The sequence below is a fragment of the Homo sapiens genome, chromosome 2, assembly GCF_000001405.40.
Source record: "Homo sapiens chromosome 2, GRCh38.p14 Primary Assembly".
In the NCBI taxonomy this organism is placed as follows: domain Eukaryota; kingdom Metazoa; phylum Chordata; class Mammalia; order Primates; family Hominidae; genus Homo; species Homo sapiens.
In genome coordinates, this window is record NC_000002.12 from 214,484,451 (window position 1) to 214,510,121 (window position 25,671).

The 25,671-nt window shown below is 38.2% G+C and overlaps 1 protein-coding gene across 3 annotated transcripts in view; it reads left to right on the top strand.

Moving 5' to 3' along the window:
• The window catches only part of VWC2L (von Willebrand factor C domain containing 2 like), a 167,923-nt gene that overhangs the window by 73,397 nt on the left and 68,855 nt on the right, over nt 1–25,671 (top strand). The window lies entirely within an intron of this gene.

The following is a 25,671-nucleotide window of genomic DNA, read 5'->3' on the forward strand; positions in this document are numbered from 1 at the left end:
TCTAGCCACTAGTGGTTCCCTCATGTATTCAGTTTCAGCTCTCCCAATTTCCCCTATGAACAATGGCATACACTTACCACCCAGCTGGCTGAAGCAGTGATCATACGGCAGAACAATGGAAAATCATCTCCTGTTAGGTAGCTTAGTTAGAGAGACAGGAAGTTTCTCTTAGGCCTCTTTATGGGCTCAATTTTAAGATATGGCATCGGGCAGAAATCAATGAAGTTTTTAAAGCTCAAACATTTTATTTATTTCTACCATGTTTTATTTTAAAGTCCTTTGAAAAGGTTGCCTAAGACATGGTAAAAAGTGAAGCAACATGATAACATTTGTGTAATATTTTCCTTAATTTAATTTGGCCTTTGCAAGCTAAATGTTCTCACAAGTTCTTGGCATCATGATAATGTTGATATCAAAATTCCATACCAATGAGCTTTTAGGCAGTACCTTTTCTGAGCTCATCTGTATTTCCAGAGCATGGAAATGTATCATCATGAAAATGTATCATCATGAAAATTATTAAGGACCTGTTTGAAACTGAGACGTGAAGAATAAACACTTCTTACCTTTAGAAGTCTGTATCTGGCCGGGTGCAGTGGCTCATGCCTATAATCCCAGCACTTTGGGAGGTTGAGGCAGGTGGATCATTTGAGGTCAGGAGTTTGAGACCAGCCTGACCAACATGGTGAAACCCCATCTCTACTAAAAATACAAAAAAAATTAGCTGGGCATGGTGGTGCATGCCTGTAGTCCCACTACTCAGGTGGCGGAGTCAGGAGAATCTCTCGAACCTAGGAGGCAGAGGTTGCATGTGCCACTGTATTCCAGCCTAGGTGACAGAGCAAGACTCTGTCTTTAAAAAAAGAAAAAAAAAGTGTGTATCTTAACTACAACTTGTCGGGGAAGAAATAGCATGCAGTGGTAAAGAGACAAGCCTGATATCTAGGCTTGATATCTGATTTGATATCTAGCTGTCATTCATTCTCTGTGTGACTGTAGGTAAATTACTTAACCTCTCTGAGTTTCTACTTCCTCTTCTGAAAAATAAGACTAATCAAAATATCTTCTTCATAGATTGGCCGAAGAGATGAAGGCTGACATACGAAGGTCACTTAGCTTAGGGCCCAGCACACAGGGAAAAAGGAAAGATTCTTCCTGAAAAATGTAGTAGGAGGCTAACATTCACACATTTGCCTCACTCCCCTAGGAAATATGCTTTCTTCTTCCTCTGTGCTCACACTACCTGACATATGTCTCCACCTACACTCAGAGAGTAGGATTCTAACTATTCTCGTGGCCCTCCACTACTCTGGGAGATCCTTGAAGACAATAACCACATCGTCTTCATCTTTCTCTCTCTAGTGCCTAGCTGAATTGACTCTCCAAAATGAAGTAAATTGCAAAGAAATAAATATTGGGAAAACTTTAATTTCATAGACTTTAAAAGGTATGATGAACTCAGAAAGAACAAAAACTAATTAGAAATGAATTATTTTAGGTAAAACAGACATAAACCCTTGACCCCTAGTGGATAAATTTGTTTTTTGATCATTTCATCTAGAATGACATTAAGTGGTCTTTTTTCTTCCTGTGTCATGTAATATGTGTACTTAGACACTCTGTCTGTGTATGTTTGTGTGTGTAAACAGCAAATAGCCATGGCTATGTTAAACTATAATTATATACCCAGAGCCCTTTTAATTGCTTATTTATCACAACATCCTGATAAGGAATGTCACAGATACTATCATTTTTTACAGGGAAGTCTCTGAGCCATAGAAAAGTTAAGTGGCTTAGTTTAATGCATACTGTCAATCAATGGCAAAGCAGGAGTTAGAGCTTGCAGCCATGGAGTCCCGTATTTATTGCTTAGCACCAATGCATGTGAGTTACCACCATGTGTAACAGCGTGTTCTTACAAGAAATCTTAGGAGACTGGGGGTAAAAATTGATCTGAAACAGATTGTCACCTTCTCTTAATTATTCATATGCACCTTAATTCTTCATATGCCCCAAACAGACTATCTTCTTTATCTAGCTGCTTCATAGAACTGCTCAGAACAGCCCCTTACTGCACTGGTAATTACATATCTCTGCGTTGATGAGTAAAAAATAGCCATTGATGAGGGGGACAGGGCTAGGAACCCTACTGACCTCACATGCCAGAGGAATGGAGGAGATCTCTATATATCTAAGAATGTTGCCCGTACACTCAGCTAGCTGGACCTTTAAGATGTTCTTTATTTATTTTTTTCTTTACTGCAACTTTTCCATCCTATCACTGGGTCTGCCTAAAGCTGTCACTACTCTGCTTTTAACCTGCTTTCTACTTTAAGCAGGACTCATTTGATATAAATGATCTGAAAACAAAATAAAGCAGAATTCATAGCTTCCAAGGAAACCACAAACCAGACATGGAAATTTAGTGTTACGAGCTAAATTGTGACCTCCCAAAATTCCTATGTTGACGTTCTCATTCCCAGCATCTCAGAATGTGATTGTGTTTGGAAATAGGGTCTGTAAAGAGGTAATCATGTTTAAATGAAGTCATTAGCATGGACCCTCAACTAATAGGACTGGTGTCCCTATAAGAAGAGATTAGGACAGAGACATATACAGAGACAAATGTCTTCCATGTGAAGACAGAGGAAGGCGGCAGCCATCTAAAAGCCAGGGAGACCTCAAAAGAATCCAGATTGCTGACACCTTGTTCTCAGACTTGTAGCCTCCAGAATTGTTAGAAAATAAGTTTCTGTTGTTTAAGTGACCAGTACGTGTTACTTTGTTATGGCCACTCTAGCAAATTGATACATTAAGCAATCTTGACATTACTTTCATCATTAATCAGCAAGCATGGGCTTGAAGAACTGAAAGTCTTCACTCTATCACACAGTAAAAACCTACTGTGCGCCAAGCTCTGGTCAGTTGCTGGGGCTACAGTGGTGAGCAAGACATAGGTGCTGCTTTTAAGAGGTTTTCAAGCCTCCTAAAGACAAAACAAGGAAAGATATCACAGTGTAATCAATTAGCAATAAGACAGTGGCATGCCCAATGTGCCATGGGGACCCTGAGAAGAGTGACACAATCCAAAACATGCAGGAGAGAATAAGGTGTCAGGTAAGGCATTCAAGAGGGATTTGCACCTGAGCTATGTTTTTAAGAATGAATAGAAGTAAGCCAAAGACAATGGGCCTTCCATGAAACTTTTGCCCTTGGAAAAGCAAGAGTCCCTGGAGCAAGTGCATTCAAGAAAGCTGTACAGTCCAGCATAAAGAATCGGATGTGAGTGAAGGTCCCAGGAGAATAGCTGGAGGTCAGGAAGAGGGCAATTCACAGTACCTTGTAGGTCATGATGTTTTTTGGTTACAAACTGCAACATTCAGTTTAATTCAAATGATGGGGCTTTATTAGAATAGGTAGAGGAGTGAAGAAACACGGAAAATATCTCATAAACCAAACAGTCAGGTCTCACAGAAAAGTGGAAGGTTGATCAGCTTGCAACAACAGCTCTGGGTTCATTGATACTGTTGCTATTACAGCAAAACTTATCTCCTCCAAAATAAGTATATGTTACTCCTACTCCAGGGACTCACCGTACCTTGTATTTTACTCATCTTGGTCTTGGATTCTACTGCAGCTACATATATATCTTCTGCTCCACCAATTCTATCCTCTCCTCCACCCATAATGGATTCTGCTTACCCCAGCTTCTACCGCTTCATGGCCTTTGTTCATCAATGTCTTTACTCAACAGACTTCACTATAAGTCTATTTTCTGTAATTCTGTTACAATTTATGTCTCTCATTTATAGCTCACATCCAAACTTCCTATGATAGAGAATTCAACCTGGTCAAGAAGTCACAAGGCTGGGCATGGTGGTTCACACCTGTAATCCCAGCACTTTGGGAGGCCAAGGCAGGTAGATTGCTTGAGCTCAAGAGTTCAAAACCAGCCGTGGCAACATGGCAAAACCCTGTCTCTACAAAAAAATACAAGAATTAGCCAGCCGTAGTGGTGTACACATGTAATTCCAGCTACTTGGGGGGCTGAGGCAGGAGGATCACTTGAGCCCAGGAGGTCAAGGCTGCATGAGCCGTGTTCACACCACTGCACTCCAGCCTGGGTGACAAAGCAAGATCCAGTCTCAAAAAACAAAACAAAACAAAAACCCTGTTAGGCACATGTCTTCATCTGTTCTGGGTTGTTATAAAGGAATACCTGAGACTGGGTAATTTAGAAAGAAAAAAGGTTTAATTGACTCATGATTCTGCTGCCTGGAGGACTGGGCATCTGGTGACAGACTCAGGCTGTTTCCACTCATGGCAGAAGGCAAAGAGGAGCCAGAGTACAGAGATCACGTGGCAAGAGTGGAAGCAAGAGAGAGGAGGGAGGTGCCAGGCTCTTCTTTACAACCAGTTCTCACAGGAACTAATAGAGAACTCACTCACTGCCACCCTCGGGGAGCATCAATTCGTTCATGAAGGATCCACCCCCATCACCCAACACCTCCCATTAGGTTCTACCTTTAACATTGGGAATCACATTTCAGCATGAGATTTGATGGGGACAAACTTGATACATTTGAATATATTGTAATATATTCAAACTACAGCAGCAGAGTTGGAGTCTTGGCTACTTCATCACCTGCTATGTATTAACCAGAGGCCTGTTTTGGGTTTAGTCCCCAATCTCTTATCCAGTCAGCCTTGTCCATAGTAGCTGGCCATAGTCATATCAGCTAGTGCTCAAAGAAATCATTTTTATCAATTAGTTCTGAAGGAGTCTGTGGTAGTGACAGGCAAATAGCATTTCACAGTTATTATCCAGAAGATGTTAAGGAGTCATTAAAAGATTTTAAGGAGAGAAATAGAATATAAATTTTTGTTTTTAAAAGTCTATAGCAGAAGAGAAAAGAATGATTGGAAGTGTGCCCCTAGAGGTAGAGAGACTCGTTAAAAAGCCACTGTGGTAACACAGCAAGAAATGCCAAGGGCTAGAACTGAGGCGTTGAGTGGTGATGACAAGAAGGGGATAGAGTACAGAGATTTTAAATATGTTAAATTAATAGCATTTAAATGGTAACCAATGGAAATCATGAAAATTACAGAAAGCAGAGCAGTCAAGTTTGATGTTGAGATTTCTGGCTTAATGGATTTTGGAACCTTCACTGAGATAGGGAGCTCTGGAGAGAAAGAGCAGATTATGAGTGTGTTGAATTTGAGGTGACTGTGAGACCACAAATTAGGGCAAGTAATGCTTTTACAACTGTTATAGCTGAACTCCCCAAATCTCCAAGGCTTAATACCAGAAGAATTTGTTTCTTGTCAATTGGTGTTGCACTGTGGGAGTGCTCTGCTCCAGTTAGTTATTTAGGGCCATCTATTTTTAATATGTGGCTTCAAGGTCACCTTGGCCGTGTCCAGCACTGGATAGAAAAAGAGAGAGAATGAAGAAAGCACGCTTACCCTAAGCATCTAAGACCAGAAGTGACACATCACCTTAATCACATTCTTTTGGCAGGAACTAGTCACTGGGTGCAGGAGAGCTGGAAATAGTTTAACTGTGTACCTGGGAAGAAGAAATTGCAGTCATCCAGCCAGTCTGCCACAAATAGCTGAGTGGAGTTTTCAGAAGCAAATGGATATAAGAGCAAATTCTGAGCTGATGATATATTTGGGAATGGATCAGTTGGATCCCAAAGGCAGAGATGCAGCCAAGCTCCAAGAACAGACTGAGACCTGGACTTAGAAGGGCTCACTCTCCTTATATCATCTCTCCTCTTTGGTTTCTTAGACCACATGGTAAAACATGACCTCTGATAACTACTAGCCCCAAGTGCTTTAGGAATAGACACATTTTTTAAAACACTAAATCTTTTTTTTTTTTGGTCCCAATTACAAATTTCTAGGAAAGGTTTCTGACTGATTCAGTGTAGATCATATGTCTACCCTCAGACCATTTAATTGGCTGAATCATGTCACAGGAGCTTAGCTGCTCAAAGTCACATTGAAGCATATAGATGGGAAGGGAGAGAATGATCAAGCTCAAGATATGCAAGAGGTGATTGCAGGGAAGCTGGAAGAAGGAGAAGGACTGATCAGGCAACCAAATAAGCAGCTACTACTCAAAGTGATTAGAGTGAGTATGGTAACTGAAGCCTTGGACCAAAAAGAGAGTACAAAGGGAAACAGGCCCCAGCTGAAACCCTTGAAAATACCACTTTACAAGTGCCAGGAGAAGAAAGTAAACCTGCAAATAAGTTTACGAAAAAAAGAACCTCAACTGTATGTGATGTCCAGGAAGGAATGAGGCTTAGGAGGAAGAGAGAGGTCAAGCTCTCAATTGCTGCATAGAAGTTAAACAGAGAAAAAGAAGGTAAGGAATTGGTGTCAATGTGACTAGGCTAAAGCTTTAAAGAGCTAGCCTACAGCCACAACAAGAATGACACTTGGAAACACCGTGCTAAATGAGAGAAGCAAAACACAGAAGTCTACATGTTGTATGATTCCATTTCTATGACATTTCCGGAATATGTACATTCATAGATACAGAAAACAGGATTCCAGTTGCCAGGGGATGGGGGGAGTGGCTACTCAATGGGTATAGATTTCTTTAGGGAGTGATTTAAGGGTTCTGCAAGCAGATAATCCTGAAGGTTGCATAAGTTTGTGAGTGGACTAAAAGTCACTGAATTATACACTTTAAAATGGTGAATTTTATGGATTTCACTTCGATTTTTCAAAAATTAGCCCATTGCATGGCAAATGATATGGTAATAGGTTAGGGGGATGTTTTAATTTTCAATGGGAGAGTCTTGATGTTTTCTGTGTAAAAGGAGACACAACAAGTTGGGAGAAAAATCTGCAGAAGAAAGGGGTAATGTTTGGTTCATGCGTCTGATTGAATGAGAATATTGAGGACGCAGAGCACGAGCAATGGGTTAAATTTGGATGGAATAAGGTTTTCCATGAGGGAAGAAGAGAGACTAAATCCCAAAGCCAAAGATTTTGTAAGAGAAGGACAGTAAATTAAAGGAATAGCTCTGCTTATCTCAAATAGAATAAAGTGCTTGTGCTTTTGGATAACCATTTTAGATGTTATGTAATGTTACAATACCTTTGGGGAAATTTTACTCAACTCCCGTATTAGGGAGCAAGGTGAAGTAACTTCCCCAGAATCAGAGATTTCCCTTCGTGCCCTGAGTCCTTTCACTCAATTCTAAGAAACAGCATTACATAGAAGAAAGGAGAGAACACTGGAGTCAGATGGAAATATGTTTAAGTCCCAGTTCCATTGCTTCTCAGCTGTATCACCTTGGTCAAGTTACTTAACCTCCTGAGTTTTATTTCTACATGTGTAAAATAGAAAAAAAAAATTACTTCTCAATTACTGTAGTTCCTACCCCTATCATAGCTACATAGTAAACATTCTTCTCCCCCTTTTTCTCTTGTACTCCAGCTTCACTTTCTGGTTGCCTCTCAGTTATGGGATAGCTGAAATTTGCAGAAATGTGGTAAATGTTAAGGAGAGGAGCATTGTTTTTATTTGACACTTCACTTTTTTTATGCCAAAGATATAAAAGAGAAAGTAGCACAACTCAAAATACTATTGGGCACTGTGAATATAACAGAAGGATAAAAGTAAGCATAATGACAGCTGATCTAAGAAAATTAAACATAGTAAACAAACCAAAGCAGGGAGAAGTCAAAGAGTATTTTCTGTGTGTAGTTCTGGGATGTACCAAATGACATGGGGTGACCCACTAAATAGCATAAAGCCTCCCAGAAGCAAGAGGGCATGTGATGACTATCCCCAGAGGTAGAGGTTGGGATCAGGGATGCACCGCACTCAGAGTGTGATGTGTGACAAAGGGGAACAGCTGTTCAAAGAACTCCACAGTTCATCAACCATGACCACAAAAGGCGGTGCCGCTGAGACAAGCACCTTGTGACATTTGTTTGGCAGAGCAGCTGAGGAGCTGTCAGCTTAGAACAATAATGCATCAAAGAGATCCACCAAATCAGCAGTCCAGCCCACATAGACCAATGTACCTGTGAGACACAGAATAATCAGAACCCAGAGATGACAACCAAAGAAGAAAATGGAGAAGAGACTATATCTAGGATTGGTGAGGACGTTAAAATGAATGTGTTCACTTATCGTGTGTATATAAATTTTTTGGTAAATTCAATATTATAAATGCACCAGAGGAATTTTTAATTTAAAGGAGACATCAATTGCTACTATGAATCACTAACTTTAAACAATCATTTTTTTTCTTAATTTTGAGTTTTGGTATGTCTGATGTATCAGTCAGTGTTTATTAGGTTTTGCTGCTATAACAAACAAACCCCACATGTCAGAGGCTTACAACAAAGTGTTATACTTGGACTGGAGAAGAATCCAAGTTTCTTGCTCACAGTACATAAAGGATGTGAGTTTGCTGGGGCTTTTGCTCACTCAGGGAGCTCATCACTTTCATTCAGGTTTCATTGGTCAAAGCTAATCCCCTGGCCAAGCGTTTATCAATGGTGCAGGGAAATAGAATTGATTTTCAGGGAGAAGATGACAAATAATTGAGAACAATATTAAACAAAATATATCATAACTTACATTCCTAATATGGGGTACACCTGCATATGTGAATCTGTCAAACATAAAATTACACTAGCACAAGTTAGATTAGACAGGCTTCTCTGAGAAAATTAGGCAAAATGTAGCAAAATGAAACAAAATATAACCCTGTTACATCAGAAGAATATTTCAAGGAAGAACTTTATGGCTTCTGAGAAGCAAGGTTTAAATAAAGTATGACTAGTTCAATGAGTATTATTTCTATTAACACAGATGCTACTTGATTAGGCAGCCATCTTTGTGCAAGTGACAAAGCCTAAGCCCATGCTAACAAGAACAAAAGGAAAGCTATTGGTTCATATAACTGAAAAATCTAAGAGTAGGTAAAATTTTATGCATGGCTAGACCCAGAGGCTCACAAATATTTTAACGATTCTGTCCCTTTGTCCTTCCATCCTTTGGTGCTGCTTTTCTCTCTATTCCTTTGCATTCTTGTGCATGCTCCCCACCCCCATGCATTTGTGTAGCAAAGGTGGCCACTATTGGTTTTCTATCCCACCAACCTAGTAAATACACTGAAAGAGGAAATGTCTTTCTAACAGCTCTGGCACCATTTCCAAGGAGGATTCTGACTGGTTCAGTTTGGATCATGTGTTTACCTCCATAACCAGGAAAGAGGATATTCTGAGGTCAGGTCTCTATCAACTGTCCATCTAAGGTACTGGGGAGGCAGAGTGTGTGGAGAGTCACCCAGACCCCAGGGACTGAATAAGACTGTTGAGATGACAAAGAGGTTATTGACAAAGGAGATGCTGTGCAGAAAACAGATAAAGAAGCAAGCAAGTGAAGTCTATCTAAGACCCTACCTGCAGATGTTTCTGGGATGAGGTTATATCTGACCTTATTCACCAACTGTCATCTATTTCTTCCATTATTTCTCCACAATGAATCAGTGTAGTACACCAGCTCCTAATAAGCTAACAAACTAATTTGCAGCAAAATTCTGTAATACTATTCCTAATTTTCTAAAGTTCAAAAGGAAATCACTGGAGACATCCACTCCATTTTGCTACAATTACAGTATTTTATGTTAAATTCATCCACTGTATCCTCATCTACTACAGTAGTCTTATTCAGCATAACTTTATTCCCACATAAACAGGAAACACTGTAAATTGCTTATCTAAGGTTTTCTTTCTTGCTACAATGCCTTTAATTATTTATCCAGTCCTAGGCATAATAAAATATTATAATTTACTCTCATAGACATGAGTCCTTCTCAATTATTCCGATTTGGAATGTTTTTAGCAAGGAAAACTACTTTGCCATGCAGAATGAGTACAAGACTATTAGAATTACCTAAGACAGATCTGTTCGCCAGCCACTCTGCCAGAAACATTTTAGCAGCAAAGTAAACAAGGAGACCCTACCCTCTGCATGTCTCTGAAGAGTTTCCCAGATGAGAGTCAGGAATGACTTGGGCCTTTTTCCTCTTCCAAGTCAGCCTTCTTTAACCTCTCATGTTTGTGACAGTGTCCTCCATTTTGAAGGAAAATCTCTCAGCTCATCTTTGAGTCTCAAAGTCTCTTCAGATCATCTTTATTTATCCTGTTTTCCCAGACGTTCTTAAAGGCAAATCAGAAATTAAAGTTTATCAGAATTAAGCAGGTGTTGCCTACCTCAAGACTTGAATGTACTTAAAATTCATCCTTGAAATGTTACACAACTGTGTTTTTTTTATAGCACTAGGTACTTTTTTTTTTTTAAGTTTCTAATTTGGTGTCTTGGGTGTTTTCTTCTTGTTTTTTCCTTTCAAGGGCACACTTCACTTATGGTAGAAAACTTTCTGGAAAAGTGACAAATATACTGCTGTTCTCATTTGCCCATGAAATAAAGTTTCCATCCAGGCCAACTCTTAGATTTCTAAGGTCTTTGCATTACTTTGATTGTTCCTGAACTGCCTTCTAATACAGCATAGTCTTTAGTTGTGCTTTCGAAGTGTCTGGTTTATTAAAAATTTTCATAAACAACTATGTCATACTTTCATGTTAATGATTGGTTCAACGGTTTTTATTGTTCTTGCTTTTTTTATATTGATTTGACTTTAAACTTCTCAAGATTGGAAAACATTCTGCTAATACTCTCTCCTCCCACTGTAAAGTCACTGAGAGCTGTGGAAATTAAATTATGAAGGCTGCTAAGAAAATCCCTACTCCCCATCCTTTGCTGATCCTTCGTTACTGCCTTTTTGTTTATCATCTACCATTTTTTGTTGCTGAGCCAGTTGTGACTCTGAGGGCCTGCTCAGAGGTTTCTTAGAGGACTGCAACCTTGTTGGTGTCAGGGATTATGCTGTCTCATCTTTGTTTCATCTGAAATGACAGATTCTCAGCAAACACTTCTTAACTTCAATGATTTCGATTTTCTGTTACTTGCCAAGATAATAAATCCAGGGGTCTTTCAAACATCAGTTTTGCCCAGTTGATGGACTACCACTTAGGAACCACTGGCAGAGAACTTCACTGCCCCACTAGTTTGGCAGTGACATCTTTCAGCAGATCCCTTAGTCTATTCCTGCTTCAGGTTCCTCATCTGTAAATGAGAACCAGTATATTTCTACCAAAATATTCCCACCATCTACCAAACAGAGCTGTTCTATCAAATAAATTATCTCTGTAAAAGTATTTGCTTACCTTGAAAACACCATTTTTTCTAAAGAAATCCAAGGCACTAAAACTTTCACTCTCAAGCTGTATTATTTTACACATAAGGATATATGCTTAAAAGGAAGCATAACCTCTTTCTGAAATCCTCACAACCAGCTTCAAAACATGTAAATTATAGGAAATAATATTTCAAAAAAGCCAACAAGTCAGTTCAGATTTTTTTGAGCTGAATATCCTACATACAGTCATGTGTTGCTTAACATCAAGGATACATTCTAAGAAATGTGTCCTTAGACTATTTCATCGCTGTGTGAACATCATGGATTCTGCTTACACAAACCTAGATGGCATAGCTTACTACACACTTACGCTATAGGGTATATTTATATACTGTAGCCTAGGAATAACAGGCCTGTATGTAACCTATTGATCCTATGCTACAAACCTGTATAGTATAATACTATAGTGAATACTGTAGGCAACTGTAACACAATAGTGAGCATTTTTGTATCTAATCATAGATAAAGTACAATCAAAATAAGGTATTACAATCTTATGGGACAACTCTCATATAAGTAACTCATCAGTGACTGAAACTTTATGTGGCACATGAGTATATTTGAAAAGAAAGATGCAATAGAATGGCTGCAAGCATATGAAACATCTTCCTCTCCATGACTTGGTTTTAAACTCACAATAATAGGCATCCTCTTCTGGACCTTGACATCTGTGTGCTGCAGTCTGTTATTTTTCAACTATCTGTTATACTTAGGTCTCCAGATCTGTCAATCTACAAGGGCACCAGCTTTCAGAACATTGATAGACCTCCTAATTAATTTGCTATTCCTAAGAATACGTTCAACAGTCTGCTTCATCCACATTGGGGTTTTATTTGAACAGTACAGAGCAAAGACATTCTTAACTAAAGCATCTGATTTTCCCAAAGGAAGCACAGATTGAAGGGAAATCTTACGTGATTGTACTATTGCTTAAAATTGTTGTTGACAATTAAAACTTCAATAATTAAATGTTGCTTTAATTTAAACAAAAAGTTATAATCTTACCAATGATTTATTCTAAAAATGCACTTCTTTCAGATTCTATTCTCACCAGACGCTTGGTTCTCAATAAAAACTTGGTGGTGATAACACCTAAGAGTATTCATGTTATGGCTTCTAATTAATCAGAAATGGAGGTGTATTTGTCATGGTCCTTCATATGTGCATGTGTGTATTTGTATGTTTTGGTCCTTTCACTCTTTGCTGCAATCTTGTTTAACTATGTTAAGTGTACAATATCAAAACACCATATTTCTTTGAAAAGAAAGGATGTTCTGTTCCATCGTTAAGGTGAGATGCAGATTTCCAATTAAAAAGCAAATCCTATATTTCAAAAGGTTGAATAAGCTGGTACTTACAGAAGTTCAGCTGGCTAAATTTAGAGCATTGAAAAATATCCAATCCAAGAATAGTCTTTGGCTTCAGGCATGTAACATTTTTATTTGATAGTGTATTGGAAAGGAAAAAAAACCATTCATTTTAAGCTCTTACCCTTCTACATATTGTTCTGTGATAGGTCAATGAGTGTAGATGGTGGTGTTGGCTTCAAAACTATAGCTTCCCTTAAGTGGTCTGTTTCAATTTTGTTATGCCAGTTTAAAAAAGCTTTCTGTTTGTAAATGTTTATATTCAAACTATCCTCTCTTGCCTCTCTAAATTCAACTGTTTTCTTAACTCCACCCAATTTTCGCAACCTCATCTTTGAGCCATGATCCTTCTTCATATATGGTGGGTTCATAGGTACACAAGTATTATACTCATTGCTGCAGTATGGAATTTTTCTTTGTTGATTTTCCCATTTATTCACTGTCTTCTAATTCATCCAGCTCATACTTTGGCTCAGGATATAATCTGCTGTCCATTTCTAACCCCAAATTTCCAGCTGCCATTTCCGTAAATTCACTCTCTTTATCAGTGTTTCTCTAAATGTGCATCCAAAAACCTGCAGTGGTGACGAAAATGCCTGTTTCTGGGCCCCATCCCAGACCTGATGAATCAGAATCTCTGGGAGGGAGGCCTGGGGATTTATATTCATAACAAACTTCTTCCCCAAATATTCTGCAGTTTGAGAACCGCTGCTCTCTGCTCAGCCATCTTTCAACAATGATAGTAAGTTCATAACTTCTGTTAAATCTGTAGTATATGTGGATTACTTAAAGTTGTGCTAGGTGCTGTAATGAATAAAAACCCAAATCTCTGTGGCTTGGCCAAATAGAAGTTGGGGGAGAAATGTTTTCCTCATCATGTGACTGACATGATGAATCTAATGAACATGTGGCTGAAGCTAACAGAGGCTCCACCCGCTTCAACATGTTTCCCAGGGTCACCCAGGGCATGAAAATCCAACCAGTCTGCAGTGGGAAACATGGCAGAGAAGCACCTAGGAGATGTTTATGGGCCTGGCCATTTATCACTCCACCCACCTTTGCATGGCACTAACTTGGGACTCCACTTAGATGTTTCAGAAGTGCTAGAAAATGTAGGTTCTGGGCAGCAGCTTCCTAACCACCACTTTCCACAATGGACATAGAGAAAAACTCTTTGATAGATCCTTGGCATCTCTGCCGCTATGCACCATCCAGAGGGGAAAGACATAAAGTGTGTGGTTTCAAAACACTCTGTGGAGTATCAGAGGCCTATTGTTCAATGACCCCCATTTCCAGAACTTCCTACTCAAGCAGAAAAGTCACGGTCTCTGAAGCCTTGTCTCTAGGTATGCTTGAATCCTCAATATTTCTTTTTCTTAATATTTCTCCTTGGCTATCTTAAAATACAGAAAAAGTTTATGATTTTGAAATGCTATATGAATACTATAATATATAAAAAAGTGGGTGAATCTTTTAATATGTTCTATGTTCCTAGTATTGAAAAATAAGTTATATCTCTATATGTATATTTATATGTATATATAATACATATTTTTATATATGGGTGTATATATTATACATATACATATTTTTATATGTGTATATATTATACATATACATATTTTTATATGTGTATATATATTATACATACATGTATTTTAATATGTGTACATATACATATAAATCTACCACTGGATTGTGTATATATGTGCAAAAAAACCCACGGGCAGATATATTTTTCATCATTGTAAACCATTGTCTTATTCATTTTATTATCAAGAAGACATAGAGCATATCAGCCTAAGAAAAATTAGGGACTGCATGACCAAGTCAACATAGAGGGGATTTATGGATACCTTCATATGCCTTCTGAGGCTTATATCGTACCATTCTTTTTTTTTTTTTTTTTTTTTTTTTTTTTGAGACAGAGTCTTGCTGTCACCCAGGCTAGAGTGCAGTGGCCCAATCTCAGCTCACTGCAACCTCTGCCTCCCAGGTTCAAGCAATTCTCCTGCCTCAGCCTCCTGAGTAGCTGGGATTACAGGAGCCTGCCACCATGCCCAGCTAATTTTTGTATTTTTAGTAGAGATGGGTGTTTCACCATCTTGGCCAGGCTGGTCTCAAACTCCTGACCTCGTGATCCACCTGCCTCAGCCTCCCAAAGTGCTGGGATTACAGGCATGAGCCACTGCGCCCAGCCATACCACTCTGTTTCTTTCAGATAAAATTGAAGGGAAGAAATCAGCAAAGTTTGAAAAACTGCCATCAAGTTTAGATACCACCAGTTACACTGAACACTTGAAACAGACATATTATTTTAACAGGCATAGGACTATTCAGAAGTTTGACACAGGAAGGGGAACATCACACACTGGAGCCTGTCGTGGGGTGGGGGGAGGGGTGGAGGGATAGCATTAGGAGATATACCTAATGTAAATGATGAGTTAATGGGTGCAGCACACCAACAAGGCACATGTATACATATGTACCAAACCTGCACGTTGTGCATATGTACCTAGAACTTAAAGTATGATTTAAAAAATTTTAAAAAAAGAAGTTTAACAGTCTATTTGAAGTTCTCAACTTGCAATGAGCTGTCATTTTTTATTCATGCATTGATTGATTCATTGGTAGTTTACTCAGAAAAATTTCAGAATCAAATGTGCATTAGCTTTGCCTTTATTTATTTGGTCATTTAACAAATATTCATTGAGCCACTACAAAGTGTCAGACACTTTTCTGAGCACTGAGGAGATAATAACGTACAAGCCAATCATAAAACAAAAAATGTCAAAAGTAGGGAGAGTGAGTTTATAGACAATGATAGGGGCTATTACGGTAGATAGGATAGTTGGGAAAGGCCTTTCTGAGCTGTGGATCTTTGAGTAGAAACCCCAGCGAAGGAAGGGTATGTGACTTTTGAATATTCATGAGAGAATTGCATCAGGCAAAGGTAAGAGCAAGTGTTAATGCTCTGATGGAAAGATACATCTTATATGAGAAATCTCTAACATATACACACATAAGAAACCTCTGCCACATAATTTTGGGTAAATATTTCACCTAAACGGCATCATCTATCTTAGAAATAGCATAAACTACATACTATTATTTTTCTGCTCTGATAAAACCGTGAGTTAGAAACGGTATTCAGCTAGTAATGGAAACATTTTAAAAAATAGGAGTGCCAATAAAATATTTTCTTTCCCTCATGTAGATTAAAGTCAGGGAGCAAATATCAGAGGCTGGTACAAGGGCTCTATGGTATCATCAACGTTCTGGCATCCTACTTTCTTGCATTGCCATTCTTTGTGCATGGATTCCATCTTCAAGTTTACCTCACAGTCACTATATGGCTACTGCAACTCTAACCATTTCATCTGTATTCCAGGTAGGACAAAAGGCAAGTAAGTCCTTCCCATCTGAGCCTGTTTTCCAGCTCCCTATCCCTGCTGCCAGCTTCTGAAGACCTTTCCACAAGTCTGACCTAACAACTTGTACTTACCTGCCCTTAGTCAGTTGGGCCTTATGGCCCCTTTATCTGCAAAAAAGGCTAGAAAATGTATTTTTACCTGTATACATTGCTTTCCTTAACAAGATCAGAGTTCTATTAGTAAGAATGAAGGAGAGAATCAGTATCAGGTAGACAACTAGGCCCAGGTTCAGTTATTAAGAGGTGTAAACAAACGACCAACCTCCATTCTCTAACCAATGAGTTTAAAGGCCTATTGCTCTGTTAATTATTTGTCCTCTCTAGGTTATATAAGACCTTTCTCAGTGTTTTCATCACTCACTCTTGATGAAACTATGAGACATTTGTCATAATTTCTAATCTCATCAGGTTGTACTCTCTAAGTAAGCCTATAAACAGCATCTCTCTTCCTTGAATTGAGAAATAAAATAACACAGTAGCAGACAGAAGCAAAATATCATTTTAGTTACTTATAGAGACCAAGTTAGAGGGTGTGGTTTCAGGTTTATTAGCCAGTAAGCCAATACTAAACCCCCAAATTATGCAGACTGGCCTACTGGTGATGCTGTACTTTTTCTATAGAACAAGTACACTCCCAAGCGGCAAACATATTCAGTAATTTTTCACAAATTTAACCATCGGAAAAGCCACTCCACCTTCCCTCTGATGAAGTGTAGAACTAACTGTCACTACCACCTGGAAAGAAACCTGAGCCATAGGAAGGAAGTGTTCTCTCCAGCTCTGGTGGAGTCTGTGATACTAGTGGCCACAGGGAATCATGCCTCCCCGAATCCATACCCTTACGTGTACCTGCCCACTCCCACCTTAAATCTGCTTTAACCAAAAGAATAGGCCAGACGTGGTGGCTCATGCCTGTAATCCCAGCATTTTGGGAGTCCGAGGCGGTGAATCGCCTGAGGTCAGGAGCTCGAGACCAGCCTGGCCAACATGGTGAAACCCCATCTCTAATAAAAATACAAAAATTAGCAGGGCATGGTGGTGGGTGCCTGTAATCCCAGCTACTCGGGAGGCTGAGGCAGGAGAATCACTTGAACCTGGAAGGCGGAGGTTGCCATGAGCTGAGATCATGCCTCTGCGCTCCAGCCTGGGTGACAGAGCAAGACTCTGTCTCAAAAAAAAAAAAAAAAAAAAAAAGAATGTGCCATCCCTAGGCCTAGGCCTTAAAAAGGCTACTTGCTGCTGCCATTGCTCTCTTGGGATCTTTGAGCCACTATATAAGACTCCAGCTACCCTGCTGTACAGGCCACGAGGAAAGGTCACTTACAGAGGGACCAGCCCTGAGATTACAGAGAAAGAGAAGTGGGGAGTTGCAGCTAAGCCCACCTCCCCACCGACTCACCTGCTGACTGCAGCCACCTGAGTGGCTACCAGCAAGATGAGCGGAACTCCCCAGCAAAGTCATCCCAGATGGCATGATTATGATTAAATAAATGTCATTGTTTTCTATTACCATGTTTTGGAGGTAGTTTGTCACAGATCAATAACCAAAACAATTAAACACTGCTGTTTTTCCTTCTTCAATATTTTTCATTTTTTCCTCCTTATCTAGTCTCAGCTTCAATGAGTATTACCATTGAACTTGAAATATTCGCATGTTCTCAATAAATATCAGTGATTATTATGTAAGGTGTTTTGTTCATGCAAAGTGTAAATATAAAGCATAGAAAATGACAACGATTGGCAGGGCACGGTGGCTCATGCCTGTAATCCCAGCACTTCGGGAGGCTGAGGCAGGCGGATCATGAGTTCAGGAGTTCAAGACCAGCCTAGCCAATATGGTGAAACCCCCCCTCTACTAAAAATACAAAAATTAGCTGGGCATAGTGGCACACACCTGTAGCCCCTGCTACTTGGGAGGCTGAGGCAAGAGAATCACTTGAACCCAGGAGGCAGAGGTTGCAGTGAGCCGAGATCGTGCCACTGCACTCCAGCCTGGGCAACAGAGCGAGACTCCACGTCAAAAACAAACAAAAAAAAGTGATAACTATTGAGCACAGTTTGCTGCTAGTTGCCTTTTCAACACTCTGAAATGATACCTAGTCTTCTTTCATAATGACGTAAAATTGTTGTTTTTATGCTTTTCTATCAGTTGCAGTCTCCCCTCTATTTTGTGTAACACCAGGTCATTTTTCCTTGTTTATTCTTAGAAATTCTTGTGAAAGTCATTCCTGCTTCATATAATGAAATTCCTTAACTAGATTGTGTTTTTCTTCTTCCCTTTCTCATCCCTTCCATTTTCCTGCTTCCAGTAAAAAGCTTCCCCAGATGGGCAACACCAGGCCCTAATACTTGGTATTACCATAACGTCACATTTCATCAGCTTCTATTTGTATGTAGTTGTTGTGTGCATTTATTAGTGTATATCACCTAAATAAGACGGGAATGCTTAACAAAGCTGAGAACCAATATCTTCCCCATTTTTGCCTTTGCTAGTATTGGGAAGGCAGTTCAAAACTGGCTACCATCGTATCTAGGCACGTAGCACCAAACCCAAGAACCTGCAAATTATCTTCATGCAAAGCTGCATCCCCTGAACTCCAGCAAGAGTTTTGACCTAGATCTCTTCATGATATGTTAGGGAAAGAAAACATTTAGCATCTAAATCTTCAAAATATTAAGATTACCAGTTTTCTAAGTTAACAAGTCCTCGATTCATTCTGGGCTGACTTACTCAGGAGATAGGAAGCAAAGTGCCTAAGTCCCAAAATACTTTCAGAGGCCCATGAAAATACTTAATTTTAATCAGAAAAAAAAATGTAAACTTAGGTTAAAGAAAATGTTTTAATATGTAATATTAATATATTCATCTTGATACCAAGGCCATAGTAAAATATAATTAATTTTTATATTGAGGAAGAGAGAGGCAAAGGGAAAAGAGCTTAGAGCTCATCAAAGTCATAATGTGGCCAAAAATTTATTAGGCTAATTGTTCTCAAAACTTAGAAAGCATTAAAATTTCCGGGGATACTTTTTTGTAATCCAAACTCTCAGCTACAAAAGCAGTGATTGTTGAGTAGGGCTAGAATAAATCTCAGGAGTCTGCATTTTTGCTGAGCAATTTAGGTAATTCCACTATGTACACAATCAGAATAAAACTAAAAAAGTGAAACCAGAAATGAGAAAAAAAAAAAAACAGAAATGATAAAAGTTTCTGTTTCCATGTGGCAAAGTTGAGAGATGGGACAAGTAAGATATGAGTATGTTGCTTTTTGTTATATCTTTTCTGTCCTAATTGATTTATCCTCACCACATCATACAGCTACCATTAAACTGTTGGCTCTGTAATCAGCAGCTACCTGATATTCCCTTGAAATTCTTCCATCTGTGGATAGATTATTCTGCAGGGAAGGAGCACAATTTGTTGACTATAAGAAGACCACTTATATTTAGACACTGGCTAAAACAAGATGTATCAGGCTAGTCTTGAAAACAGCTGAGAGTCCAGTACATTGTACAAATTGTAACTGGTTCTGTGTACAAATACGACCAGTTGGGTAGATGACTAAAGTACTAAACAAAAATCAAAAGAATGCAGATTTCAAAATAAGAAAATAGAAAGGTTCTTTACTGATCATTTTGAATAGCTTTAGCTGCTTCGTTTCCCTAAGAGAAGGGTGAAATCAGAATGTACAAGGTAAACAGAAAATGCGAGATAGTTTGGTTGGAATGAGTGATGTTGGAAGTAGCTTCCTGTTACCCATGCACTTATTAAGGTGAATCAAAGGACTAACATGGATGGGCTGCTGTCCATGTCTAAGTGTTTAGAGTCTGCATCTGATTGCTCACTAGTGATAGAGGGCATGGTAGTTTCTTTCTGCAGCACGTGTCTGACATTTTGGGGAGCTGAAATTTATTGAGAAGTTCAGCAAATTTACCCAGCAAAAATCAGCTTCCAGCGAAGCTGGTTACACACAGGCCAGTAAATTATTCTTTAATTAAGATGAACTGAATAACCACCAAAGGATTTGTTAGGGGGCAGGGTCTGAACAAAGCTGAAAATCGTACCCCAGTATAAATAGGAATGTCTTCCCTAGGAAAGCCCATGACGTGGCCCGCAGCATGAACTGGCATTAGTGGTTATTCTCTCCGAGTCCTGGGAAGCATAATCCAGTGCTTCATGATTGCAAAGTACTTCATAACGTTCATTATTTTATCTTCACAACAAGCCTGTTGGGCAGCCTGGAGATGTGATTCCCATTTTACACAGGAGGAAACAATCAGAGAGAGATTAAGTAACTCACCCAATGTTCCAGGATGAAAGAGGATAGACAGACAAGTCCAATTTTGAGCTGTGAATTTCCAGCACATCATTTAGTTCATTGCCTTGCTCTCCTAAAATCCCAAAATAAATTTGACTGGCCTGAACACTTAAAGATATCATAATTAGTTCAATTGAAGATGTCTTGATAGACAGGAATGCTATTTCCTGTCCACCTCCATCCCCACGGACATGCTCTTTGAAATTTCTTTTCTCAAGGACAGTGTTGATTTAATTGGAAAGAACTGTGTTCTCGTTTCCTATTTTGGCTACTGAAGTAGCCCCGGCCATATGCACAGTGGCCATCTGGAAAAATTCATTCCTAACTTCAGGGAGTATTGCATCAGTTTGCCCTGAAACTGTTTACCCACTGGCTCTGCTCCTCATTTTTAGAAGCAGTGTGATTTCTACTTGGGTTTACTTGAGATTCTACCTAATAACCAAAACAAACAGTGGTACATAAACCTCCATGGAGAATCAGCACAAAGATTTAAAGAATACTCCCCTGTACTACTCTATAATTTGTTCTCTTTTTTGCAGTTTTGGGTTTTTTTTAATCAAGAGTTGCTGAAATCAGCTTTTGTTCCATGTGTTCATAACTCCAAGCCTTGTTTTTTTCCTTTTTTTTCTGATTAAGAAATACTCAAAGGTATAATCAGGTCCTTGCACAGTATTTAATTAGCCATAATTAAAAGACATCTACACAAAGCACAGTGTTTTCAAAGTCTTTTCTTCTGTTACATTGTTAATGAATTAAGAAATTCATTGGCATTGAGTTACCACAGAAAATGTGGCTAAGAAAATTTTAACTGTCTTATAAAATTATCCTTTATTGTAGATGATGTTCTGGCCCTGTATTCAATTCAATATCATTCCCAATCATTAAAAGAAAAAAAAGCAAAACATAAGAATGGTGGGAAGAAAAGGACAGATAAAGGTATAAAAAATGTTCCCATAGATCCATATTCTAGTAAGAGTGTTTAACATGATCCAAGCTCCAAACTAGTCCAATCGTTTTTGGAGACTTTTTTAAATCTCCAAATTTCTTAGTAATGGTGGGGAAGGTGAGCACAGGGGCCAAAGGGGTAGCCGGGAGTGCTGGGAAGATGATTCGCTTATTTTCATACCCAGTAATCTGGCTTTATTGCTTAATAATATGTATGAAAATGTTATACGTATGATTAATTCTATCAACAACAACAAGGTCTCAGGAAGGACAGTTTAATAAAGAATTTGAAAGATATTATCTCATGTTTCTATCTTTAGTCTTTCAAAAGGCTGTTTCCTATCGACATATTTAAGCTTCATCCTTCCACTTTAAAGATATATACTGACTTTTATTTGGGCAAAAAAGTAGAAATCAAACAAGTATATAGATGAAGGATTTATATCTGTAGCATTTGAAAAGCTTTTATAGATCTATAAAATAATACAAAAATACCAATGAAGGTGAGAGACAGCAACAATCACACATGAACAATGCTAATGCCTAATAAACATAAAATAGCTCGAAGAAATACAAATCAAATTGAGATTTGTATTTCTCCTATACCCTTAACTCCTATATCATTATTAAGAATTTCTTAAAATCTTAATTCCCAGTGTTTGAAGATACTATGGTTTCTGTTGGGACTACAAATTGTATCTTTCTGCAGAGCAATTTAGCTATACGTATCAAAACCTTTAGAAATCATCACATGTTTTGACTCAATAATTTTACTTCTATATAAATTTACTTCTCAATAATTACTTCTTTCTAAAGAAATGTTCAAAGATGAAGGGAAGGCTCTATATAGGTTATTTATCATAGAAAATATTATAATAAATTCGTAATATCGAGTTAGAATAACATAAATGCCAAGAGTCAAGTTTAAAATATGTATTGATCACTCATTTAGTTAATTATGGAGCCAATAAAAATATTTCTAAAGATATGCTGATGAAATAAAGACTTGTGATACAATGTTTTGTGAACAATGGAATATAAATTACATTATCCAAATTTTTAAAAGTCTGTGTCTAAATATATAGAAAGAAGAGTACAAATACATTAAAATATTAACAGAGGTTGTGTCTGGGTGGCTAAAATTACTGAAAATTTTCTAATTTTTAAAAAATGTTCTATGGAAAAAAATGAGCTATTTAATTATTACAAAATATAGAATTGATTTTATAAAACAAAGGTCAACATGTTTCTTTGAAGTGACAAATACTAGAGTATAAGCATATTTTTATAAAATATTTTTAAAATATGTGGACTTCTACCACAATTAAATCTAACTGAAAATATTTAGAATATTTAACATGTGTATCTAAAGACAGTAATGATTCAGTTTTCAAACCACAGCTATTTTAACATTGTTAAGGGAATCTCTAATAAGTTTAAGAAGACAAATGATATTATCTACCCAGCATAATCAGATAGTTTAATTTCTAATTGAACTTTATCTGAAGTCCTTTATATTTTATTAAACAATTCAGAAATCCTCTAATGAATGACTTAGACAAAGTAATTGCATGTATAGAATGATCAAAGAAATAAAGGATAATGATCATTTTCACATATATTACCATATTTGACCCTCAGATTTGTAAACGGGAATAACGCTCTCCTGACTAGAGCTACAGGGAAAGTTGCCAGAGGTAAACTGATGGCATTCCCCAAGGTCTCCTGGCAAGTCAGTGATGGAACCAGGATTTTGACTTTGTACCTCCGTTTTCTAATCTTGGACCAAAGTCCAGAGTTTGTGCCAATGTACCATGCTGGCACCCTAAAATAATTATTATCTCTTAATTAGTCATGTGATGTTATCAAGAACATTTGCTCTTAAACTATAACATCATCTATATTAGTGAGTTTGACAGACAACCCGTATTTCTATTGAACAGCCTTGGAGACAGTCATGAGCCTCAAGCAGGCTCTGTTTTCCGCTAGATGGCACATAGCCTGCTTCTCTTCTGGGGAATGGGTTTCAAGGAATTTGCAGCTAGTTGCCACATTTTTCTTTAATGAAATTCAAGCAAAATCTTATTAGATGTTATATTCACATTGTTTAAAAAGCCCATTAATGTAAGGGCTTAAGTTATCCTTTCTTTTGTGCACTTATATTTATTTATTTATTTATTGAGACAGAGTCTCGCTCTGTCGCCCAGGCTGGAGTGCAGTGGCGTGATCTCGGCTCACTGCAAGCTCCGCCTACCGGGTTCACGCCATTCTCCTGCCTCAGCCTCCCAAGTAGCTGGGACTATAAGCGCCCACCACCGTGCCCGGCTAATTTTTTATATTTTTAGTAGAGACGGGGTTTTACCGTGTTAGCCAGGATGGTCTGATCTCCTGACTTCGTGATCCGCTGCCTCAGCCTCCCAAAGTGATGGGATTACAGGCGTGCACCACCACCCCCGGCTCTTCTGTGCACTTTTAAATGATATACTTAGCTTTATTTCTTATTCTAAAACTACAGAAATTTTCTCTGGATTCGCCATTTGGTAAGATGAAGATGCTACTGTCTCTCCCCTTTTCATCCCACATTTTCCCTGTCTACTCCCAAACTGCCATTTCTACTTTTTATTGTCAAGGTTGATAACATTTACAGTTTCCTATCAAGCTTTGCTCATAGGATGATTCTAAATGATGGAATTATAAACACATTGATAATTTATTTTTCACTAACAACCAAGTAGTTAACTACGATTACATTTTCCTTCCTGTGTAACTAGTGTGAATTTGTTCTATCCTAGAGTTTCCAATTTCCTTTTCCCCATATTTTCCTTTTTTTCATAAGAATCCTTGACTTTTCTTCTAAGACTTCCATAGATTTGTAAAAGTCATATTTTAAATTCCAAGGGCTCCTTCACGTTTTTAGATTTTTGTTTGTATGTAATAGCCTATTCTTTTTCAATGAAGATTTTGGGGCAATTTTGTGTTTTTTTGGTTTGTTTCTGTTTTTGTTTTGCAAATTTACTGGAGAATTTAATCTGAGTTTTACTGTGGAAGTTCTGACCCATTCCCTAAAAGAGTTCGATTCCTCAATGGTTTTTCTTTTTTTCCTTTCCTTCTCCCTCCCTCCTCCTTTTCTTCCCTCCCTTCCTCCTTCTTGTCTTGCCTTGCCTTTCCTTGTCTTTCTCTTTCATTTTCTGGGCAGAGCAGACCACAGAATGCTCACCCCTCTCTGGAATCACTCTGAGGGGAGATTTCTCACTGAATTGCCAGAGTTCCCCAGTGGGATTCTGCTCCAGATGCACACAGGCTTGAGCCTCTTTCCCTTCCTAGTCTCACTTCCCCACTTTCACACTGGCATTTCTAGAAATCACCTCCCATATAAACTGCTCGCATCTAAACTGAGACTGAATTTTCCTAACGTATGTATTACCTTTGACTGTACATTCATGTTTAAACATGAGGCAATTGATGAAATAGTAATATAAGGCTATTTTGTTGGGAGATTCCTACTTAATAAAATTTAGATATTTTGTTCTTGAATCTATACTAGCTATTATAACTCTACTTGCTATTCTAGTCTCTAGTTTCAAGACACAGCCTATATACCCCAAGACAGAATTTTTTTTTCTACTTCTCTAAAGAAAAACTTTGCTACTTAAAAAAAAAAAATGTGTTCGTTGATGATATTGCACTGCCTGGGAGGTGGAAGCCTTGACTCCCGGATATCGTAGATTTGGATGGAAGTGGGAGTAGAGGGTAAGAGGGGTAGCGGGAATGCAGCTGATTTGAAGACAGTCATTTTCAGGTATCCTCTTCCTCACTGTCTTCTCCCACCTTCCTGTGTTTTTGAGAAGTGAATTGCTTTTGGGTCCTGCAGGTCATATTGACTCTCTGGTTGTAACCCCTTACTGCAGAATTCCAGCAATAACTTTCTCTACCCCAGTTTAAAGCTCAGTTATTTTCTTTCTAACAGATAGCTGTTGACATTTTCTGCTGATAATGGCTCCCTTCCTATTCTTTTCATGATTGTGGATTTATACATATTTTAATCAACCTCTTTATTATCAATTTAAGGATGGCCTTTTGAAGGAAACAAACAAGTTTGATCAGAATGCCATATTAAAATGAAAGTTAGATGTTTTTGCAAGTAAAGTTATTGGCTAAATATACTTTATCATTTATATAACTATAAACTAGTAAAATAAGATCCCAGTTGAAACTATGGGATTACAAAATACGTAAGATTTTGGTACAGAAGTCACCTGACTCAATTTTGATTGCCTTTGCTTTTAAATTAAATCCCAAGCTTCATT